Source organism: Homo sapiens, chromosome 6, assembly GCF_000001405.40.
Source record: "Homo sapiens chromosome 6, GRCh38.p14 Primary Assembly".
NCBI lineage: Eukaryota > Metazoa > Chordata > Mammalia > Primates > Hominidae > Homo > Homo sapiens.
In genome coordinates, this window is record NC_000006.12 from 8,655,651 (window position 1) to 8,675,584 (window position 19,934).

General features: G+C 39.1%; 1 long non-coding RNA gene across 2 annotated transcripts in view, besides 1 other annotated feature; it reads left to right on the forward strand.

Annotated features, from left to right (window-relative positions):
- Positions 1 to 19,934, forward strand: part of LOC100506207 (uncharacterized) — a 349,823-nt gene that overhangs the window by 220,028 nt on the left and 109,861 nt on the right. The gene's annotated exons all lie outside the window — the stretch shown is intronic.
- Positions 4,270 to 4,439: an enhancer, noted in NCBI's record as "experimental_96605 CRE fragment used in MPRA reporter constructs". NCBI's record gives its function as "activates a minimal promoter by MPRAs in K562 erythroleukemia cells, with activity observed for both the introgressed and non-introgressed 6:8660238 variant alleles {active_cell/tissue: K562}" and the evidence as "EXISTENCE:reporter gene assay evidence [ECO:0000049][PMID:34662402]".

The window sequence follows — 19,934 nt, forward strand, 5'->3', positions numbered from 1 at the left end:
TCTTCACAAATTTGCCCCATATGGATCCTGCCCATGAGGCAGGTTCAATAAAGTCGACCAGTGATTGTTGGAGTGATGTGCACAAAGGCGGAAAGGGAATTGAGGCATTGGCAAAGCTAGGAAGGCTGATGATACTTATTAATAGTGTGAGGCAATGTATCTAAACAGAGGTTGAAATATAGGAGAACCTGGGTTTGCTTAATGGGGCTATTAGCTGGGCAGTGAGCCTGGTGTGTACAGAATGAAAAAAGAGGTGATTGTGAGTGGGGTTGTACGTAACAGGACTCTTGTGTGGCATTCATGTGCTGTCTTTCCAGTTACTCTGACACGTGCATCCTTTGATTTAGCTGTGTAATTTCTTTCATTATTATTCTTTTAAACTGACAAATAAAAATGTATATAATTAGTGTATACAACATGATGTTTTCACATATGTATGCATTGTGGAATGGCTAAATGAAGCTGATTAATATTTGCATTCCCTCACATATGTATCTGTGTGTGTGTGTACACTTAAAATCTACTCCCAGCAATTGGAAGTAAACAATACATTGTTATTAACTCTACTTGCCATATTGCACAATAGAACTTTTGAACTTTTTCTTCCTGTCTAAATAAAACTTTGTGTCCTTTGACCAACATCTCCCCAACTTCGTAACTCTCCTACTGCTGATAACCACTATCTTACTTTCTGCTTTTATGAGTCTGATTCCTCTAGGTACCTCACATTAGTGAAACCATGCAGTATTTGCCTTTCTGTGACCAACTTATTTCACTTAGCATAATATCCTCAAAGTGTATCCATGTTGTTGCAAATGATAGATTTCCTTCATGTTTTTAAGGCTGAATATTATTACATGTGTACCATATTTTCTTCATTCATCCATCAGTGGCCACCTAGGTTGCTTCCATATTTTTAGCCATACAATTTCTTAATGTTACTTGAGCACACCTAAGACTGTATTTCCATCATTTGACATTTTGAAATTAAGACATTTTGAGAATATTCAGGGCATAAAAGTTGAATACTGTTATAAATTTCCTATTGATTATAAACTAGATCAATGTAAAATTGCCCTCTACTCAATTTCATATTTGTCTTAACAAAACAATGATTAATTAGCTGATTTATTCACTCAACAAGTATTTCTTTAAGTTTGATTACATTCCAAATGCTTTTAGGAGCCTATGAACAAAATTCACTGTCCCCATTTTGTAGAGCTTACAGAGAATGTAGTCATTATTACAAATAATACTGACATCAATATTTGTACTCTGGGTTTTTCTTTGAGGGGGGGAACTGCATTCTAGAGCCTTGTGTATGATATTTTCTTGTGATACATTATTTTTGCGATATTTTGTGTAAGAAATAACAGATTATTATTTTCAATTGTTTCTGAGAGTCTTTGCCTGTATTATAAAGGGGAAATTTAGACCCTTTACTTTTATTCTTCTGTTATTCTTTTGTCATCCTGATTTATACTTTTTAAAATATGTAATACTCTTGCCTTTTATTTATTTTTTTTTACAGGTGGAAGTGTAGCCACTCTCTTTTTCATTCTACCAGTTGCTATTTCAATCTTTTTCAAGAGAAGGCTAAAATTTTAAGAGAAGGCTAAAATTTTATGTAACTATCAAGGAGAGGAACAAAATTATGGCTTTTAATGCTCCCTTTGGGAAGGTCAAGAATTTGGAGCTTTTATATTTCTCTTTCTTCTTAATTTAGGTCTTGATCAATATAACTGGAGCCTGTGGGGTATGTGTGTATAAAATAAAGTTTAAATGTACTGGTTTAAAAGGCTGAAAAGTGTGTTTAGTCTAGGTCCAGGTAGCAGAGCTCATTAGTAGTAAAAACTGGACCAGGGACTATTTCTGATACCAGATCCAGTCTTTTTTCTGTTGCTTCCAGCTACCTTTCATCTTAGTCATAAGTTTGTGATTAAATAGCAAATGTGTTAGAGATTTCACTTTAAAACTAGTTCATCTCAGTGTGGAGCAACTCATGTGAAACTCTGACATTTCTTCAATGAATAAACCAGTCTGATAAATTTAGCATCTTCTAACATTAGTCAGCAAAAATGTTTTTGACTTACTGAAAGGACACACATTTTCCACAAAAAGCCCACAATGATCATGCATCCTAAGCATTCCACACTATTTAAGCAATCTGTCTGTCTATTTCAACAAACACATGTAAGTTGCCATCTCAGTGACAACTTTTCTCCATGAAACACAATTCTTCTTTAGCCTTGATTTGATGCATTGGGTGCATTTAGTTTTCTGCACTACATTTCATTTCCCTTCTATGGAGTAATAATACAGTGCGTTAACATTAAACCTCAAAAACATTCATGAAAAGGCATTTTATCCTACATTAGCAGCATCTTTAGATAGCCATAAAGCTCTTACTCTTCCCCTGCAAGATAAATAAGCAAACCCTTCAAATGGCTGAGGCATAGCAGTGCTCCTGAAGTAAGTGGATGCATATAATGATCTGGTTCTCATTTTCTAAATATAGACAAGGCATGTTACGTGATAGAGTCCCTTCCTAAAAAAAAAAAAAACCAGAAAAATCTTAAACATTCATTTATCGCATGAAAAGTCCTAGCTCTTTTAAAACATTCTTTATCATTGGCTTCCAGCCAGTGATCACTGTAGTAATTTGAGGAGATACGTGTGTTCAAGATGATTTTTCTGTTTCTGCAGGGATGCCGGGATTATTAAGTATTCTACATCATGAGAGTAATTACTGATGTTCCTCAGTAGAAGGCAACCCAATGAATAGAATTTTGTGAAACAACTTGTTTGGTATATAATGGATTCAATTACACTTTTTAAATTGTTTGGAAATACACCTGTGACACTGTAAATTAACAACGATGAAGTGAGCCAGCTCTAGGTTGGGGAACTCCCATAACAAAGCACAGGCCAGCTGTCAGGAAGGGAGTCCTGGTCGTGGATGAATCAGTACAACATCGGGGAATCCACGTCCAAGGAGCAGAAATCAGAAGGGAGAGTGGAGTCCTTAAAGAGCTACCAGCAGAGAAATGAAAGCTGGAAGGCCTGTTTTTAGAAAGAAAAGCTTTAATGAGCTAAAAGAAAGTAAATCCCATGAGCCCTAGGAGTTTTGTAAATAAAGAGACCAGCCTTCCCCTGGGTGTTAGGCTGTAAGCGAGCTTCCCGTTTAGAGATGCTGCTGCAATCACGTTTCATGTGCAAAGTTAGCTCGTCTGGATTCCTTGTACTCCCAATTTTTCAAAGGAGTGACCAGACACCACCTGAAAATGTTGTTCACATTGCTTGGGATGTGATCCATTTGAGATTTATTTGGAGTTTCAAGCAAATGCGCCACAGAAGATAAAGGGTAATCAGTCACTTACCTCCATGGGAATGAAGTAGGCACTTTCCTCATACTACCTAACTAAACAGCAGGGAAGGAAAGCAAGTTTTCTAGAGGAATAGATAGGGCAGACTGAGGCAGCGGAAAACAGCATAGCCCTTCCTCTAAGGTGGCACCTGGGGGAACTACAGGAAGAATGGTCAGGTAAGGGAAGTGAGAGGGCCGATGTTAACAGCTTGCATGTAACCTTGAACCCTGCCAGCCTACAAAGTCTCCCTACTCCATCTTCTATGGATAGAATGCTTGCGTTCCCACATCCCCCCTAAATTCTTATGTTGAAGACTAAATTTCCAACGTGATGGTATTTGGAGGCCGGGCCTTAGATTTTGAGAGTGGAGGCCTCATGAATGGGATTAGTGTCCTTTAAAAAGACACGAAAGATGGTCTCCCTTTCTCTGCCATGTGAGGGCACAGTAAGAAGACAGCTAGCCATGAACCCAGGAAGGGTTACCAGAACTCCTCAATCATGCTGGCACCCTGAACTCAGACCTCCCAGCCTCCAGTACTGTGGGAAATAAATTTCCGTGTTGAAGCCACCCAGTCTGTGGTGTTCTGTTACAGCATTCTGGACTGACTGAGACACCATCCCAGTGTGGCTATAATTAAACTCTGGCTTTGTTCTCTACTCCATCTCTCCCAACCCACCCATTTTCTGCCCTGTTGTAGTGACAATAATCCATACTGATAAATACTTCAGAGTGGGAGGCTTGAGTTATGACATATGAAATAAGCAGCAGCAATGTATAGAGTTATTTTATATCTCATGTTACTACAGATGCTTACTGCTGTTCCCGGGGGACCCTTGGTCCTCCCTTTTAGGTATTCAGCTATTGAGAGTAGGAATCAAATCAGTTTTCAATATTAAAAGATTTTCCCCCTCTTTATCCCCACAGCATGAGCATAAGGCCTGGGAAAAGGGCACATGTGAAACAAACAAAGCGACAGGGGTGGTACCTGCCAACATGAATGACCCTGGCTCTGGCTCTTGGATGGATTTTTCCATTTAAAGAAAGAGGGTGAAGATAAATTAGATAATAATAAGAATGCCACTGCTGAACGCAACCGTGTGACCCTTTAATTTTTACTAAAATCAGCACATGAGGTGGGTATTTTTTACCCACCTCTATATAGAAAAGGAAGTCAAAGCCCAAAGCAGTGAAACAGCTTGTGTAAGATCATGTATCTTAAGCAAGATGAGAGTCTGTGTGAGATTCAAACTCATGCCTTTGCCCTTAAACCAAAATATCTATCACGTTCCTTCTGACTCTCATTCTTTCGCAGTTTGATTTTATAATCTTTATGGCACAAATTGCTGCGAAATACAATCCAATATGTAGAGTTGTAATGAATTTACATAGATTGAAGGTCAACTGCAAAAATGTAATACAATAAAATATTTTAATTGATATTTATGAAACACACAGGTCAACTAAAATTCAATTATTACTTCTAAGGAATTAAGTTTCATCATTTTTGGCAATTTGTTATTTTTATGTCCATTTTTATAATGTATTTTGAGTCAGAATAAAATGGACCCCCTTTTTTTTTCAAAACAATATAATTTCAAGTACCCTGTCTCTTTGTTTCAAAATTGACATAAGATGAATAAAGTACTGGTTTAGTAAACTCTGATTTTATTTGTTTCAACTATATGAAACTTCATTGGTAAGAACAAAGTCTAGATTGTTTTGTTAAATGTTAAATCTCAAATATAAAATGTCCAATTATTCCTGAGTCATTTTCTTTTATCTTATCTTCTCGGTTATCACCGTAGGGCAAATCATGATATGTGAGGATTTAGAATAAGCATTAGTTAAATACCTTATGAACCATGAATGATTTCTTATAGGTTAGGTGATATGCTTCCATCTTTAAGTTCACATGAATCAAGTTAATCACAAAGTCATAAATTAAGTCAATCATAAAATTAAGATTCTGTTTTGTTGCTTAGGCAATCACGAAGAACAGAGAATAAAAGGAAAAGGAGGGACCCATTGAAGAAGGCTAATCTAACAACATGCCATTCACGAATCCCTTTGTCCTCTTGACACTGGCAGTTGGGGCTTCCTGATATGATTATTTGATGTTAAAATTGGTGGGGAAACCCCGCATTTTACTGCCAATAACTTGTTTTATTTGGAAAGTATTTTTTTCTTTTAACGGTATGGCAGTGCTATCAAATAAAGGTATACCTGTCCTTTTCTATTCTTCAATTAATTCTTAGAAGAATATTGAATTTATGACCATTGCCCAATGGTGTATCATGATGCTTTAAGCAAAAATGTCTTTATCCTTTTACAAATTGGATAATAACTAAGGCAATGAAATCTAATGAATGAATACGCTCTTTATGTTTTCTCTGAAGGTGTGTGAGGAGCATTGGCTTTTAAGAAATGTACATCCTTGGGGTGCTCTGCTGAGACAGGCAGTGGAATGAGCAGGGTCAGGGAGCCAGGGGTTTGGGGCCCCCAACCAGGGTATGACTTTGGAAGGGGCCCTCATCATACTCATCGTCTCTCTAACTATGTTTTTCCATATACAAAATGAGAAAGAAAGCAGTAATTGAAAAACTCCTTTCCAGTCTTAAAGATCTGGGATTTTCAGCAGATGGAATAAGGAAAGTGATTTTTAGCTGTTAATTCTTTTCTGTTTTTAAAGAAAACAGCAAAATTGGGGTACAGAGATATGATAATAAATTGTATTTATTCTTTATGATAGAAACAGAGTGATGGCTTTTAAAAATTACTAATTGCTCAGAATTGAAAATCACATTTCCTCCATTGTCCAGGAATATCTGGTGGATAAATTTGCCTTTTGATGGAAGGGCAAACCTGCTATGTGGCGTTTAAAAGTGTAGGCTACACAGATAAGGTTGCTTATTTTGGAAACCCAGCTTTACTCCTCTCTGATAGGTCATCTTTGACTACATTCTCTAAGGTTATCACCAGGAACTGAAGGACTTGTGCTTTGAACACAGGAGATTTCTTTGCCCTGGAGGGCATTGGGAGACTGAACGTAGATATAGCCAAATTAAAGAAGAGTAAGAATTGAGTTCATCCTAGAGTCTAATGTAGATCTGCTCTTGTACTCAATTAAATTCCTACCTTTAATTTAGGGCATTTGGTAAATTGTTCTGTCTCAAACTAATAGATAGTCTTTATATCTTTGATCAAGATTTGGGAAACATCAGTCTACAATATCAATAATGTGAACATGATATATAATCTAAATACAAATACACGGCCTCAAAAGTAGCTATCAACCTGTTTACAGTCTTCTTAAGGTTTGTGTTTCCTTCTCAGCTCTGTGTTTTTCTGTATGAACGCCGCAAAACTAAGTTCACAGCTGCAATGCAATTAGCAAGCTCTCTGAAAAACCACCTCCGTTTGTGGCTGCTAATGTATTTGCTATAGATTTTAGTGACAGAAATAGTGATATTAATGCTGTCAACATCTATGTCACTGCTTGCAGGCATTATGTAAACCAAAAGGTTACATTTTAAATTATGAAAGCCTGGGTTAAAAAAAAAGTTCCTCATTTTTCTGACTTGTCACATTAGAGTTTAAGATTATGTTATAGGTGCTCAGAATTAATCACAGAATGTTAGTTTAGGTAGAAATAAAATATCTGGAAAGTCTGTATAGCTTATTTAAGTATTTTAAATGTTATACTATATTCTCAATAATAAGATAAAATTCCATTTTATGAATAGCCTCAACATTTAGTTAGATAATTTGTTTTTTACCCTCAGACTTACCTTTTTCTCTGCACATTCTCTGCTTTGAAATTATGAATAATACAATAATAACATTTCAGATTTTAGAAAAATCTATGATTTTTAAGTTACTCAAAGCAACATACACACACACATATATATATATATGCAGAAAGTGTATAAATTTTATATTTACCAGATACTTGTTTGGTATTCTTCAGAATCACACAACTATAAAATGGTGGCACTAAGGGTAAGATGAAGGGTTGGTTTCAAAAATCAATACTCCTTATCTTTGATTCATATCTATACTCATAACAACATGGCCAATAACCGAGGCAATGAAATCTAATGAATACAAGTATGAATATTCAGAACTATAATTTATAATTTGTATCTATGCTTTCTATGGTTTTGAACACCAATTTTCTTCTTACCAGAAAATACAGTTTGTTTTGGCTCTCTCTAGGATAAAGTTGAAAAATCTTGCAGAGGTTTTTTTTTTTTTTTTTTTTTTTGGTGGTATGTGTGTGTGTGGTGGGGGTGATAATAATAATTTTCTGTGGATACTTGAGGCTGAATGAAGGCATCTCTCTGTGGTCCTGTTGCTTGTCTTCATTATAGTGACATCATGTTTTGGAAACAGAGGTATAAGTGGCTTTTTGCTTCTTCCTTTTTTATCCTTCTGGAAGCTGTAGAAAAAAGTACTAAAATGAATAACTAGCACTTGGTCCATGAAACTTAAGAGTGCTTTAAAAAAAGATAAAAAATTAGACTTAAACATTTTACTAAATGGGAGAACTTAAAAACCTGAATCAGAAACCCTGATATACATGGTTACATTACTGCTTGGGAGATTTCATTTTCATGTGCTACTTAATTTCAGTTACCCACTCCTATATTAAATATAGAGAGTATATCCTCTACATCTGTAGGAACTTCTTTTTATGGATATGAATTTTGAAAAATCTGTCCATCACTTAATAATTAACATGGCTAACTAAGATGTTTATTGATTCATTCATTTTAAATGCTATTCATTGATCAAATACTTGCTAAATACCAGTTGCAAACTAGGCATCCTGCTAGATGCTAAGGATAGAGAATATTAGAAAGGAAACTAATCAGAGAAAGCCAAATTGACCCATTTTGTTACTTATAATTTCAGAACTCTCTAAAACTCCGGTTATATTGAGTGAAGTGGTGGAAGTTTTCTTAAGCTTTGCACTGAAACCATTGCAGGACTTGTTTTAAGATTATTTAATGCCATAAGTCAGTGCTGTCTCTAGTAAGAAAGCTCATTCACAAAACATTATAGAATTTGCAAGGATCTATTTTGTAAGGAAGTGAGATCTGGTTATATTTTTCCTAAAAATCAGTACTGTTTGATTCTGTTTTTAAAAGTCCGATCAAAGACAAATTGGAAGCTATACAGGAGAAAGCAGGAGTGCTTCTGTTGTTTTAGGCAGTTACTTTTAACTCATGTTTCAGGTCAAACTTTAGTGAATGATGAACAAAAAGATAACTTCAGCCTTATGTTTGGATTGTCACACTGGATGCTATTTATTCTTTGTGGGCTTCTGATTGCAAATGAGGTGAGCATGGACTTTGGTGAATCAGTTTTGTTGACGCTATTGTTTTATCAAATAACTAATTTATTAAAAGAATGCATGAAGCTTCAGACTGTAATCAGTCCGTATTGGGAGAAAAAAAATCATTTGTGGAACAGTTCAAATGCCAATGACTATAGTATTTTCCAGCTCTGAAAAAAAAAAAGAAGTAACTAGAAATGAATTATGTTAAGTTACTAACTGAATTTCTTCTGAAATCCCCAGAAACTGAACAAGAGATCAGAGATGTTTTGTGGGTTTCTTTTTGAAGTCAATCAAACAATAATGGTGATTGACACATTTGGTACCTAAATGGTTTAACTTTTGGCTGTTGCGTCGATTTCATTAAATTCAATGAGATTTCTGTTATGCAGAACTTGCCAAAGAAAATTTGCATACCAGAAAGCAAGTAGTCATGGAATTTATCCATTAGCCTTTTTTTTCTCCTCCACCAAAGGTCAACAAATGCAAAGGTTTGATTCTGGATGGAGTTCATTTGGATGTGTCACCAGGAAGGGTATCTTAGCATTGCAGGCTGCCGAAATTTGGAAGAATCCACCCTCATTGATTGTCTTTGTTCTTTGCTGGTTTACACAGCAAATATAGTGGAATATCTGATCTGCAAGGCCAGACATATAAATAATTTCACCTTTTCAGTGGCAGTTGAAGGCCTAATCCATAGCAAAGTTACTAAAGAAAAAGTTTTATAGGTATTTAGTTTTTTCCCATGTTTTCTTGATCATTTTACTCCTAATTAAATCTCTCACCTCATTGCTGATATTAAGAATGGTGGTAGGAATAATTTTAGCCTTTGGGTTTTGTTGATTGATTTAAAAATGACAAGGTTTTTGTTAGTTATTCTGACTAGCCCTTAAATTATTATTTTAGAAAGTGCTTTCTCGTTGTCTGATGATTTGAGAAGTGGCCTGAAAAAAAACAAAGGTATTCCTCATGCTGTGGTTAAATGGAAGCTGAGATCTGCCAATCAATCCTTATCTACCAAATTTAATTTAGAACATTGTGTTCTTCCATATCTAAAATAGCATAAATTTAGCAATACCATACTTTTTCACAGTGATGTTATGTTTAGTTTATGAAAATTATATTTTTTTGAAAAATTAGCATTATATTTCAATTCTACTTTTACTGTCATTATGAGAGGTGACAGCGTGCTGGCAGTCCTCAGAGCCCTCGCTTGCTCTCAGCACCTCCCCTGCCTGGGCTCCCACTTTGGTGGCATTTGAGGAGCCCTTCAGTCCCCCACTGCACTGTGGGAGCCCCTTTCTGGGCTGGCCAAGGCTGGAGCCCACTCCCTTAGCCTGCAGGGAGGTGTGGAGGGAGAGGCGCGAGTGGGAACCGGGGCTGCAGGTGGAGCTGCCTGCCAGTCCCGCGCCGTGCACTCGCATTCCTCAGCCCTTGGGTGGTCGATGGGACTGGGTGCCGTGGAGCAGGGGGTGGTGCTCGTCGAGGAGGCTCGGGCGGCACAGGAGCCCACGGAGGAGGGGGAGGCTCAGGCATGGCGGGCTGCAGGTCCCAAGCCCTGCCCCACGGGAAGGCAGCTAAGGCCCGGCGAGAAATCGGGCACAGCGCCGGTGGGCCGGCACTGCTGGGGGACTCAGTACACCTGGCGCTTGCGGGCCAGCTGGAGTTCCGGGTGGGCATGGGCTTGGTGGGCCCCTGCACTCGGAGCAGCCAGCCAGCCCTGCTGGCCCCGGGCAATGGGGGACTTAGCACCTGGGCCAGTGGCTGTGGAGGGTGTACTGAGTCCCCCAGCAGTGCCGGCCCACCGGCGCTGTGCCCGATTTCTCGCCGGGCCTTAGCTGCCTTCCCGTGGGGCAGGGCTTGGGACCTGCAGCCCGCCATGCCTGAGCCTCCCCCTCCTCCGTGGGCTCCTGTGCCGCCCGAGCCTCCTCGACGAGCACCACCCCCTGCTCCACGGCACCCAGTCCCATCGACCACCCAAGGGCTGAGGAATGCGAGTGCACGGCGCGGGACTGGCAGGCAGCTCCACCTGCAGCCCCGGTGTGGGATCCACTGGGTGAAGCCAGCTGGGCTCCTGAGTCTGGTGGGAATGTGGAGAGTCTCTATATCTAGCTCAGGGATTGTAAATACACCAATCAGCACCCTGTGTTTAGCTCAAGGTTTGTGAGTGCACCAATTGACACTCTGTATCTAGCTGCTCTGGTGGGGCCTTGGAGAACCTGTGTGTCTAGCTCAGGGATTGTAAATACACCAATCGGCACTCTGTATCTAGCTCAACGTTTGTAAACACACCAATCAGCACCCTGTGTTTAGCTCAAGGTTTGTGAGTGCACCAATCGACACTCTGTATCTAGCTGCTCTGGTGAGGATGTGGAGAGTCTTTATATCTAGCTCAGGGATTGTAAACACACCAATCAGCACCCTGTGTTTAGCTCAAGGTTTGTGAGTGCACCAATCGACACTGTATCTAGCTGCTCTGGTGAGGACATGGAGAACCTTTATGTCTAGCTCAAGGATTGTAAATACACCAATCGGCACTCTGTATCTAGCTCAAGGTTTGTAAACACACCAATCAGCACCCTGTGTTTAGCTCAAGGTTTGTGAGTGCACCAATCGACACTCTGTATCTAGCTGCTCTGGTGGGGCCTTGGAGAACCTGTGTGTGGAAACTCTGTATCTAACTAATCTGATGGGGACGTGGAGAACCTTTGTGTCTAGCTCAGGGATTGTAAACGCACCAATCAGCGCCCTGACAAAACAGGCCACTCGGCTCTACCAATCAGCAGGATGTGGGTGGGGCCAGATAAGAGAATAAAAGCAGGCTGCCGGAACCAGCATTGGCAACCCACTCGAGTCCCCTTCCACCTCGTGGAAGCTTTGTTCTTTCGCTCTTTGCAATAAATCTTGCTACTGTTCACTCTTTGGGACCACGTTGCTTTTATGAGCTGTCACACTCACCGTGAAAATCTGCAGCTTCATTTCTGAGCCCAGCCAGACCACGAGCCCACCGGGAGGAACGAACAATTCCACAAGCGCTGCGTTAAGAGCTGTAACACTCAACCGTGAAGGTCTGCAGCTTCACTCCTGAGCCAGCGAGACCACGAACCCACCAGAAGGAAGAAACTCCGAACACATCTGAACAAAAAGGGACAGACTCCAGATGCGCCACCTTAAGAGCTGTAACACTCACTGCGAGGGTCGGCGGCTTCATTCTTGAAGTCAGTGAGACCAAGAACCCCCCAAATTCCAGACACAATTAGATTTGTCATTAAATCTTTGGTTTGGGGAGGGTGAAGAGGGAAAGGTATTGATAATTAAAGCCCATTTCAGACAGGGAGGAAGAGAAAGCCAAGACCAGTCCAACCCAATTGGTAGGTTTACAAAATAGGCTGGAGAGAGTTAACCTCAAAAGGGTGCTGAGCCCACTGGTATCTTGTGGGCTGAGGTTCAATTCATGGTCCCTCCTTGAATGGGGAGATGGAAGTATGGGGCAGAGAACTAGGCAGGGTTTTTAATGAAATTAAAGGCAGAATTTCATGCCTGCAAATACAGTTAAAAGATAGAATGAAAAAAAAAAGCAAGGGGTTTAACTTAACTCAGTATTTGGTATTAGGACCTCAGGTCCTAGCTTATGCTTTTTGCCCTTGGCATACATACCCAGAAACTGGAGAATAAAAAAAGACGAAGGAAATTAGTCAGGATGTGAAACGCCATTAAGTATAACAGAGCAGCTGGGTTTGCAAAATTCAACTTTGGAAGATGGTTAGGAATTATTTTTCTATTTGGTTCTGTAACTGAAACAAGAGTCTGGGTGTTGACTTTTGAGAGTCAGAATATTCTCGGTGATATTGGTGCACTACAGATTTCAGAGGGATTCTGTGGTACAGTGCACTGTTCTCAACCCCCAAGTCTTCAATTTGTCTCCCGATAATAAATAATGTAAATAATGCTAAAATTAAATGAAAGGCCATTTCACAAGAAAACAAACAAACCCCTAAACATTAAAATGACAGAAGAGTCCCCAAACAGAGTGGAAAGCCCTGGAGTGGTGGCCTCACCATGGTAAAACTAAATCATCAATACAAGCAGGTTCTAATAAACCATTCAGCGTGATAAAGGGGCGCTATTATGTTACAAAGCCCAGAAGGCTCTGCTTACTGCTGCTACCATGAAGTGAATAGGTTAAAAGATTTTAAATGGGATTGCCATGGCTTTCTACAGCAAAAATGCAGGGCTACAGGCAGATAACATGGCTTTATTAATGCAGATGCTGGGACACTAATACAAATTAGAAGTGTCTATGATGTTAGACAATTTGGTTTGTCTCATTCAAAAAATTAGTGGTCTTGGCCAGAAAGAAAACACACTTACAGAAAGGATTTTAGTAAGAGTCTATTTGGAAAATTAGTCAAGTTTTCCTATTTAATAGAAGCTTCTAGAAGAAAAGTAATTGCCCAATTAATGTTTGTTTAATAATATTTTTCAGTGCTGATGATGTACTAGGTACTGTTCTGGGTACTCTTATGCTTGAAAAGGTCACTGTGTTTGTTTACAATATAGTCTCCTATCCATGAGGCCCAGCACTGGGCATACATTTATTCTATCTTTTATGTGGTTTGTATATAACCATAGAAACCTTAAGAATAAAAAAAAACTCTTTTAAAAAGTTATGCACCCATTATTTTGACATTCTTCTCATTTTTGTCCATGTGATTCTAACCACTTCCTGACCTTTAGTGCTACAAAGTCAAACAAAAAAGAAATGAAGGTGAAGAGACAGTAACATTTCTAAATGCGGGTCAATATTATTGTGCAGCATTATGTGAGAGTCTGGCATCCCTTTGCTGATCACTAAAATTGGTTATGTTATAAATATTACCTGATGACTTGACATACAATTTTGTTCAGTATTGGAAAATGAAAAAAAAAGGATGTGAAATAGACTGTATTATGTTGATATAATCTCCTGGCAATAGAACCCTGGCACTGTACTACTGTCATGCTTTTAATTATGTAACTAAGTAATCACACGTTAAAGTCTCATGGAAAATGATCCCTTATTCCCATGATACCCTATTTTATTGTTTTCTAAATGGGTTTCAGAATAACGATGCGAACTTGTATAGAAAAAGATTATTTATGGTATTATACTCTTTGTGCTTCTCATGTAATATAAAGATATGCTGTGTTTTTTTAGTTTTAATTTGTGCATGTTTTTTAAAAGTTGAAAGGTACTTACTCATAATGACAAAATGTTTTGGTGTGACTCAATATTGTTAAACTTTACTTATGGCAAAAATTGATGCAACATATATTAATAATTCTCCAGGAAACTGTTCTTTCATTGATTTATGGGGGGGTGTCCTAATAGATCAAGTTTTGCAATGGGTTGAATGTGTTGAAAACCCTGCCCTGGGTTGATTAGTCTGCAATGAACTCTTTAACTTGTTTTCCCAACTAATTGTGTTTATGTGTGACCATGTATGCATGTGTGCCCATGTATGCTTGTGCGCAGTTGTGTGTGTGTGTGTCTGTATGTATGTGTTTGTGGGGAAGGTTCACCAGATTATCTTTGATTCTTAATCTTTCAGAACTGGCACAATGTTAAAGTGGTTACTGCATGGTATGAAGTGACCTAGGGGGTCTCTTCAAAAGCAGATAAGGATAAAAACTTAGGGAGAAAATATTTTTATTACTTTAATCAAAAGCCATAAACATAGTGGGTGTGACTGATCATTGAACAACAAGGTGCATTTGCACTTGGATATGCATTTGGATGGCTTTTGTCCTGACCTCTGTTCACACAACCATAACTAGTTTAATATGGTAGCTTAGAGTTAGCTGGCTTTGTGCAATCACAATGGTCAATGAAATAATTCTGTATGTGTCTACCTGTATAAATGGACTTTCAAAACAAAATTTTATGTTTTTGAGGTTTAAAATAGCATGTAGCTAACAGATGCTGGTGTAAACCTTTGCAAGTTCCTATAAAAGTATGGAAAGATCAAAATTGCCATACCAAAATATAAACAAAATAAAAACAAGCAAATATACAAGCAAATAAAAATAAACAACACTAGCATTAATCCAATTTCAGAATCTGGAAGAATGTTCTAATAACCATAAGGATGATGGAACTAAACTGAAGAGGGAACCATGCTCTAACTGTAATAAAAATAATTGGGGAGATCTGCTTTCTTGCAGTGTCTACTTCTTCGTTGGTGAGACAATTGTCCTGCAGAACCATCACTCCTTGAGGCACAGTATTGGCCACCTGTCTTGTGTCTCCTCTAGTCAGGAATGCTGAGCCTCACAAAACAACCAGGTGCAAGGTGGCCTTGGGGCTGGAGAATTGGTAGCAGCATATTATACTATGGGTGATACTGTTTCTACAAGGAAATCTAGGATGAATTGTGTGGGTGACATTTTGTACTGACAATTATGGCTTTCCATGCCTTTCATCCACCCATAGTACAAAAGGTCTGACAACGCATGTGAAGTTTAGAAAGACCCAGAAAAAGTCTACTGGAAAGTGGTAATTGGACCCTCTTGATTCAATAGGGGCATACAAACCAGCCCCTGAGTGTGTGGAGAATAGGTTGATGGGTAGGGCCCATTTGCTGTTCACTGGTAAATAGTGAATGAGTCAGCACAGATACCTCCTGATTTCTGGATGAACCAACAGAAAAATCAACAACAACTAAACTTGAATAGGGTCCATAAAAGGCTCTTCTACATCAAGGCACATGAAACATTATTCTGAAAACTCAGAGTCAGTGTATCATGAAAATGATTTGTATGAGGAATTAGAAGAAAGCAAAACTTTTTAGGCATTAATAGTAAGATGCCATGAAGATGCAGCTTCTCTGGAATAGTCACAGAATATTAAAAGAGGAAAGGCGAAATGAAAGGAAAACAATGCCAGTAGGAGAAGGATAAGACAGAGATGAATTTCTGTGCCGTGATACATTGAGTAGGATAATTAAAATTTATATTGGAGACATGAAGAGCAGAGCTGACACTTGGAAAATCACATCAGTGAGTCCAGGGCAAATTTGGGAAGAAGAACTTCCATACAACAGGTGAACAAACAAATTCAATTGAAATACTGGATTTCAAAAGAAGATGACACATCTGAAGAATAGAGAATGGAGATTCTAACCTAATGATAACTATTCCTAATGGGAAAAGCAAACAAACATTCAGAATCATTGATGACAATTTCACTAGCAGAAAAAATGGTGTAAACATGCAGATCAAAAGACTCTGTATGTTTCAGTTAACATTAATAAGGAAGGTCACAGGTAAAAATAGAGGTTGCTAAAACTTCTTTCCAGCTTTATTGAGGTATAATTGACAAGAAAAAATTGTTTTTATTTAAGGTGTACAATGTCATAATTTAATGTACACAAATAAAATAAAAATAAACCTTTAAAGCATCCAGGCACAACAGCAACAAAAAATATATTATTAAAAGAGGAAAAATCAAACTGATTTCATACATCTCTGAAAAGCTAAGTGTCTTAGTCCGTTTTAACACTGCTATAAAGAACTACCCGAGACTGGGTAATTTATAAAAGAAAGATGTTTAATTGACTCACAGTTCAGCATGGCTGGGGAGGCCTCAGGAAACTCACAATCATAGTGGAAGGCAAAGGGGAAGCAAGGCACCTTCTTCACAAGGCAACAGGAAGGAGAATGAACACAACAGTAACTATCAAACTCTTATAAAACCATCAGGTCTCTTGAAAACTCACTCACTATCATGAGAACCACTTGGGGGAAACTGCCACATGATTCAGTTATCTCCACCTGGTCTTTCCCTTCACCATGAAGATTATGGGGATTACAATTCAAGAAGATGTTTTGGGTGGGGGACACAGCCAAACTATATTACTGAAATAATGAAAATAATTTGAAATAATTTTCAAACAATTCAAATTTCAAATAACTGAAAATGATGGCAAACTTCTCTAGATCCCTGACAAGAAAATATTCTGTCTCAACAATTATACACCTGACTGTGTTATCTTTCTTTTATAAAAGCAAAAGACATTCTTTATTGTACAAGGGTTTAAAATATATTATCTCACGTAGATTAAACATTACTTCCATTGATTATGGGATTAATCTACATTAAAATCTTAAAACAAGATCCTAGACTCCATCCCAAGGAAATAATAGAACACGTGGACAATGCTATCTATCATAGGTACTTCATTGTTATAAAAATCACAGATCAAAAGTGTTACAAAAATCACTTCATTGGGCTGGGCACAGTGGCTCATGCCTGTAATCCCAGCACTTTGGGAGGCCGAGGCAGGTGGATCACTAGGACAGGAGTTCAAGACCTGCCTGGCCAATATAGTGAAACCCTGTCTCTACTAAAAATACAAGAAAATTAGCCGGGCATGGTGGCACGTGCCTGTAGTCCCAGATACTCAGGAGGCTGAGGCAGGAGAATCGCTTGAACCTGGGAGGTGGAGGTTGCAGTGAGCTGACATTGCACCACTGCACTCCAGCTTGGGCAACAGTGAGTTTTCGTCTCAAAAAAAAAAAAAAAAAAAAAAAAAAAACTTCAGTGTTATAAAAATCACAAATGTTCAACATTAGGAAGCAGTTTCATATTTTGGGCAATGCAGACATAAAACTTACCATCACAGAAAGGTTTTCCATGGCATAGTAAAATGCTTGTCAGCAGTCAACTATGAGCTTCCTGAGAGCCGTACCATGTGTGTTTTGCTTACTGTTGTCTCCTCAGCACTTGGCATGATTTCTGGCACATGAAATATTTGCTGACCATAATAGTGAAAAATGATTAAATGTGGCAGGAGGTAAAATTGTATGTAGAGTATCATCTTACATATATTTACCCCTGGAAAAAAAATGCTGGGCGAGTTAACTTCCCCTAGCTCCTTGTTAGGATGAACCCATCAGCAGCTGAGAAATACTGACCCATGGCTAGTGGGGAGCACTGAAGGAATCTGGACTTAGGTTTTGCTTGTAACAGCAACAGTTGGGACAGACTTCCATGGAATGCTGTGCGTGTCTGGCATCACACTTAGTATGCATTTGCAATTATATGTAGGTCAATCTAGAATGTAAAGCTCTTCAAAGGCTTCCAACACAAAGCAAGTAATCATATGTTTGTGGAATGCAGCAGAGCTAAGCAGTTCTGTGTTTAATCAGCTCTAATAGGGTGAATAATAACTTACTGGGCATCACTTTTGTGATAGAAATGCATCTTATGTCTGGATTAATATTAGATGGAATGTTTGTGTCCTTGGCCCCAGATTCATATGTTGAAGCCCTAATTCCTAATGTAATTGTATTTGGAGATGGGGCCTGTGAGGAGGTGATAAAGTTTAAATGAGGTCACAGGGATGGGCGCCTTATTTAATAGGGCTGGTACCCTTATAAGAAGATAAACAGAATATTTCAAAACAACATGGACACAGTAAATACATACAATTCTTATTTGACAAACAAAATAAATAATTATATTTAAAACAAGAGGAAGATACAACAGGGCTCTTTCTTCCTCCATGTTACCATACTGAGGAAAGGCCATGTGAGATCACAAGAAGGTGGTTGTCTGCAAGCCAGGAAGAGAGCCCTCATCAGAAACTAAGTTGATTGTCTCCTTGATCTCGGACTTCTATTCTCCAGAACCGTGAGAAAATAAATTTATGGCAGCCCGACTAGACTAAGACAATTCATTAGTAATTTGTGCTAGTGTATATGTAATATTAATTTTATTCATGGTGAATATTTCCCAAATCCCAAGCCAAATATCTTGAATGAAATCCCAAGCTGGCCCCTGCATTTTGGTTATGATCTAGCTTACTGTTTTTCATACCAAAAAGAATGGCTTAGTGAGAAATTCTTGAAAGGGGAAGTGGATACAGAACGGAGGAAATGAAAGCAGAGTGGAAGTAGGTAGTGTCAAGCTTAAGGTCCATTTCTTTCTAACTTTGGGATGCTGAGTCTCATATCTCAAGTCACAATTTCCTCAATGACACCTGTGTTTTCTACTTCATGCGTGTCCTGGGATGATCAAATAACATCATGTGTGTAAAACAGCTTTGTTGACCACAATTGCTATGTAAACGTAAGGGATTTATACAAAGTGCCACTTTTAGACCTGGGAAGGGAAGCCTCCAATGAAATGAACATGCTTCATAGGACCTGCGCTAGCTTATTCTAGCCATGCCCCTCCTCACAGCATGAGGAATCCCTGGGGTCAAGGGAAAGTGCCCACCAGGGCCCAAGCTCCAGTTTCTGCACCATGATCTGGGTACCTGGGGCGCAGAGTTCCCTGCTCGAAGAGCCTGAGTCTCCTCCCTAGCTCTGCCTTGATCGCTTCCCTAGACCCACCTTCTCAGCTGTGCCCATGACTTACTCATTTATAAATCTGAGGAGTGCAAGTGCCGGGGTTTGGGGAACACGGACAGATCTTGGACTTGCAGGCTGAGATGCCCACAGTGCATGCATGCTTGCATGAGGATGTGTGGCCCTTCATGCTGCATGAAGGAACCAGGATAGGGAAGTAAAAAGGGCAAGGCTGGCAGGGCGCGGTGGCTCACGCCTGTAATCCCAGCACTTTCGGAGGCCGAGGCGGGCAGATCACAAGGTCAGGAAATCGAGACCATCCTGCCTAACACGCTGAAACTCCGTCTCTATGAAAAATACAAAAAATTAGCCAGGCATGGTGGCTGGCGCCTGTAGTCCCAGCTACTCGGGAGGCTGAGGCAGGAGAATGGTGTGAACCCAGGAGGCGGAGCTTGCAGTGAGCCGAGATCGCGCCACTGCACTCCAGCCTAGGCGACAGAGCGAGACTCCGTCTCAAAAAAAAAAAAAAAAAAAAAAAAAAAAAAAAAAAAAAAGGGCAAGGCTGGGGCTGTGGTATGTGGTCTGTGACATGGGATACGTGGGCCTCTTTGCCCTCTCTGCCAAGCCTTGAGAATGTTAGAGTGAGCCTGTATATGAATCTTGGCTTCAGCCTCACTATGACTTGGGACTAATTAATTTGTATATCTGGACCTCAACTTCCTCAAATGAAAAAAAATCGATGATTTGAATCTCTGTCCACAGATTTGGGTACATGAAACTTGTACTGTGTATAAAGTCCTGCCTCAATTCTACTTCTGTTGAAATTCTGGCTTTGATGGTCATCTCTATACTCCTTTATAAAATTCATCCACATACCAATTTTATTGGCTGTCCA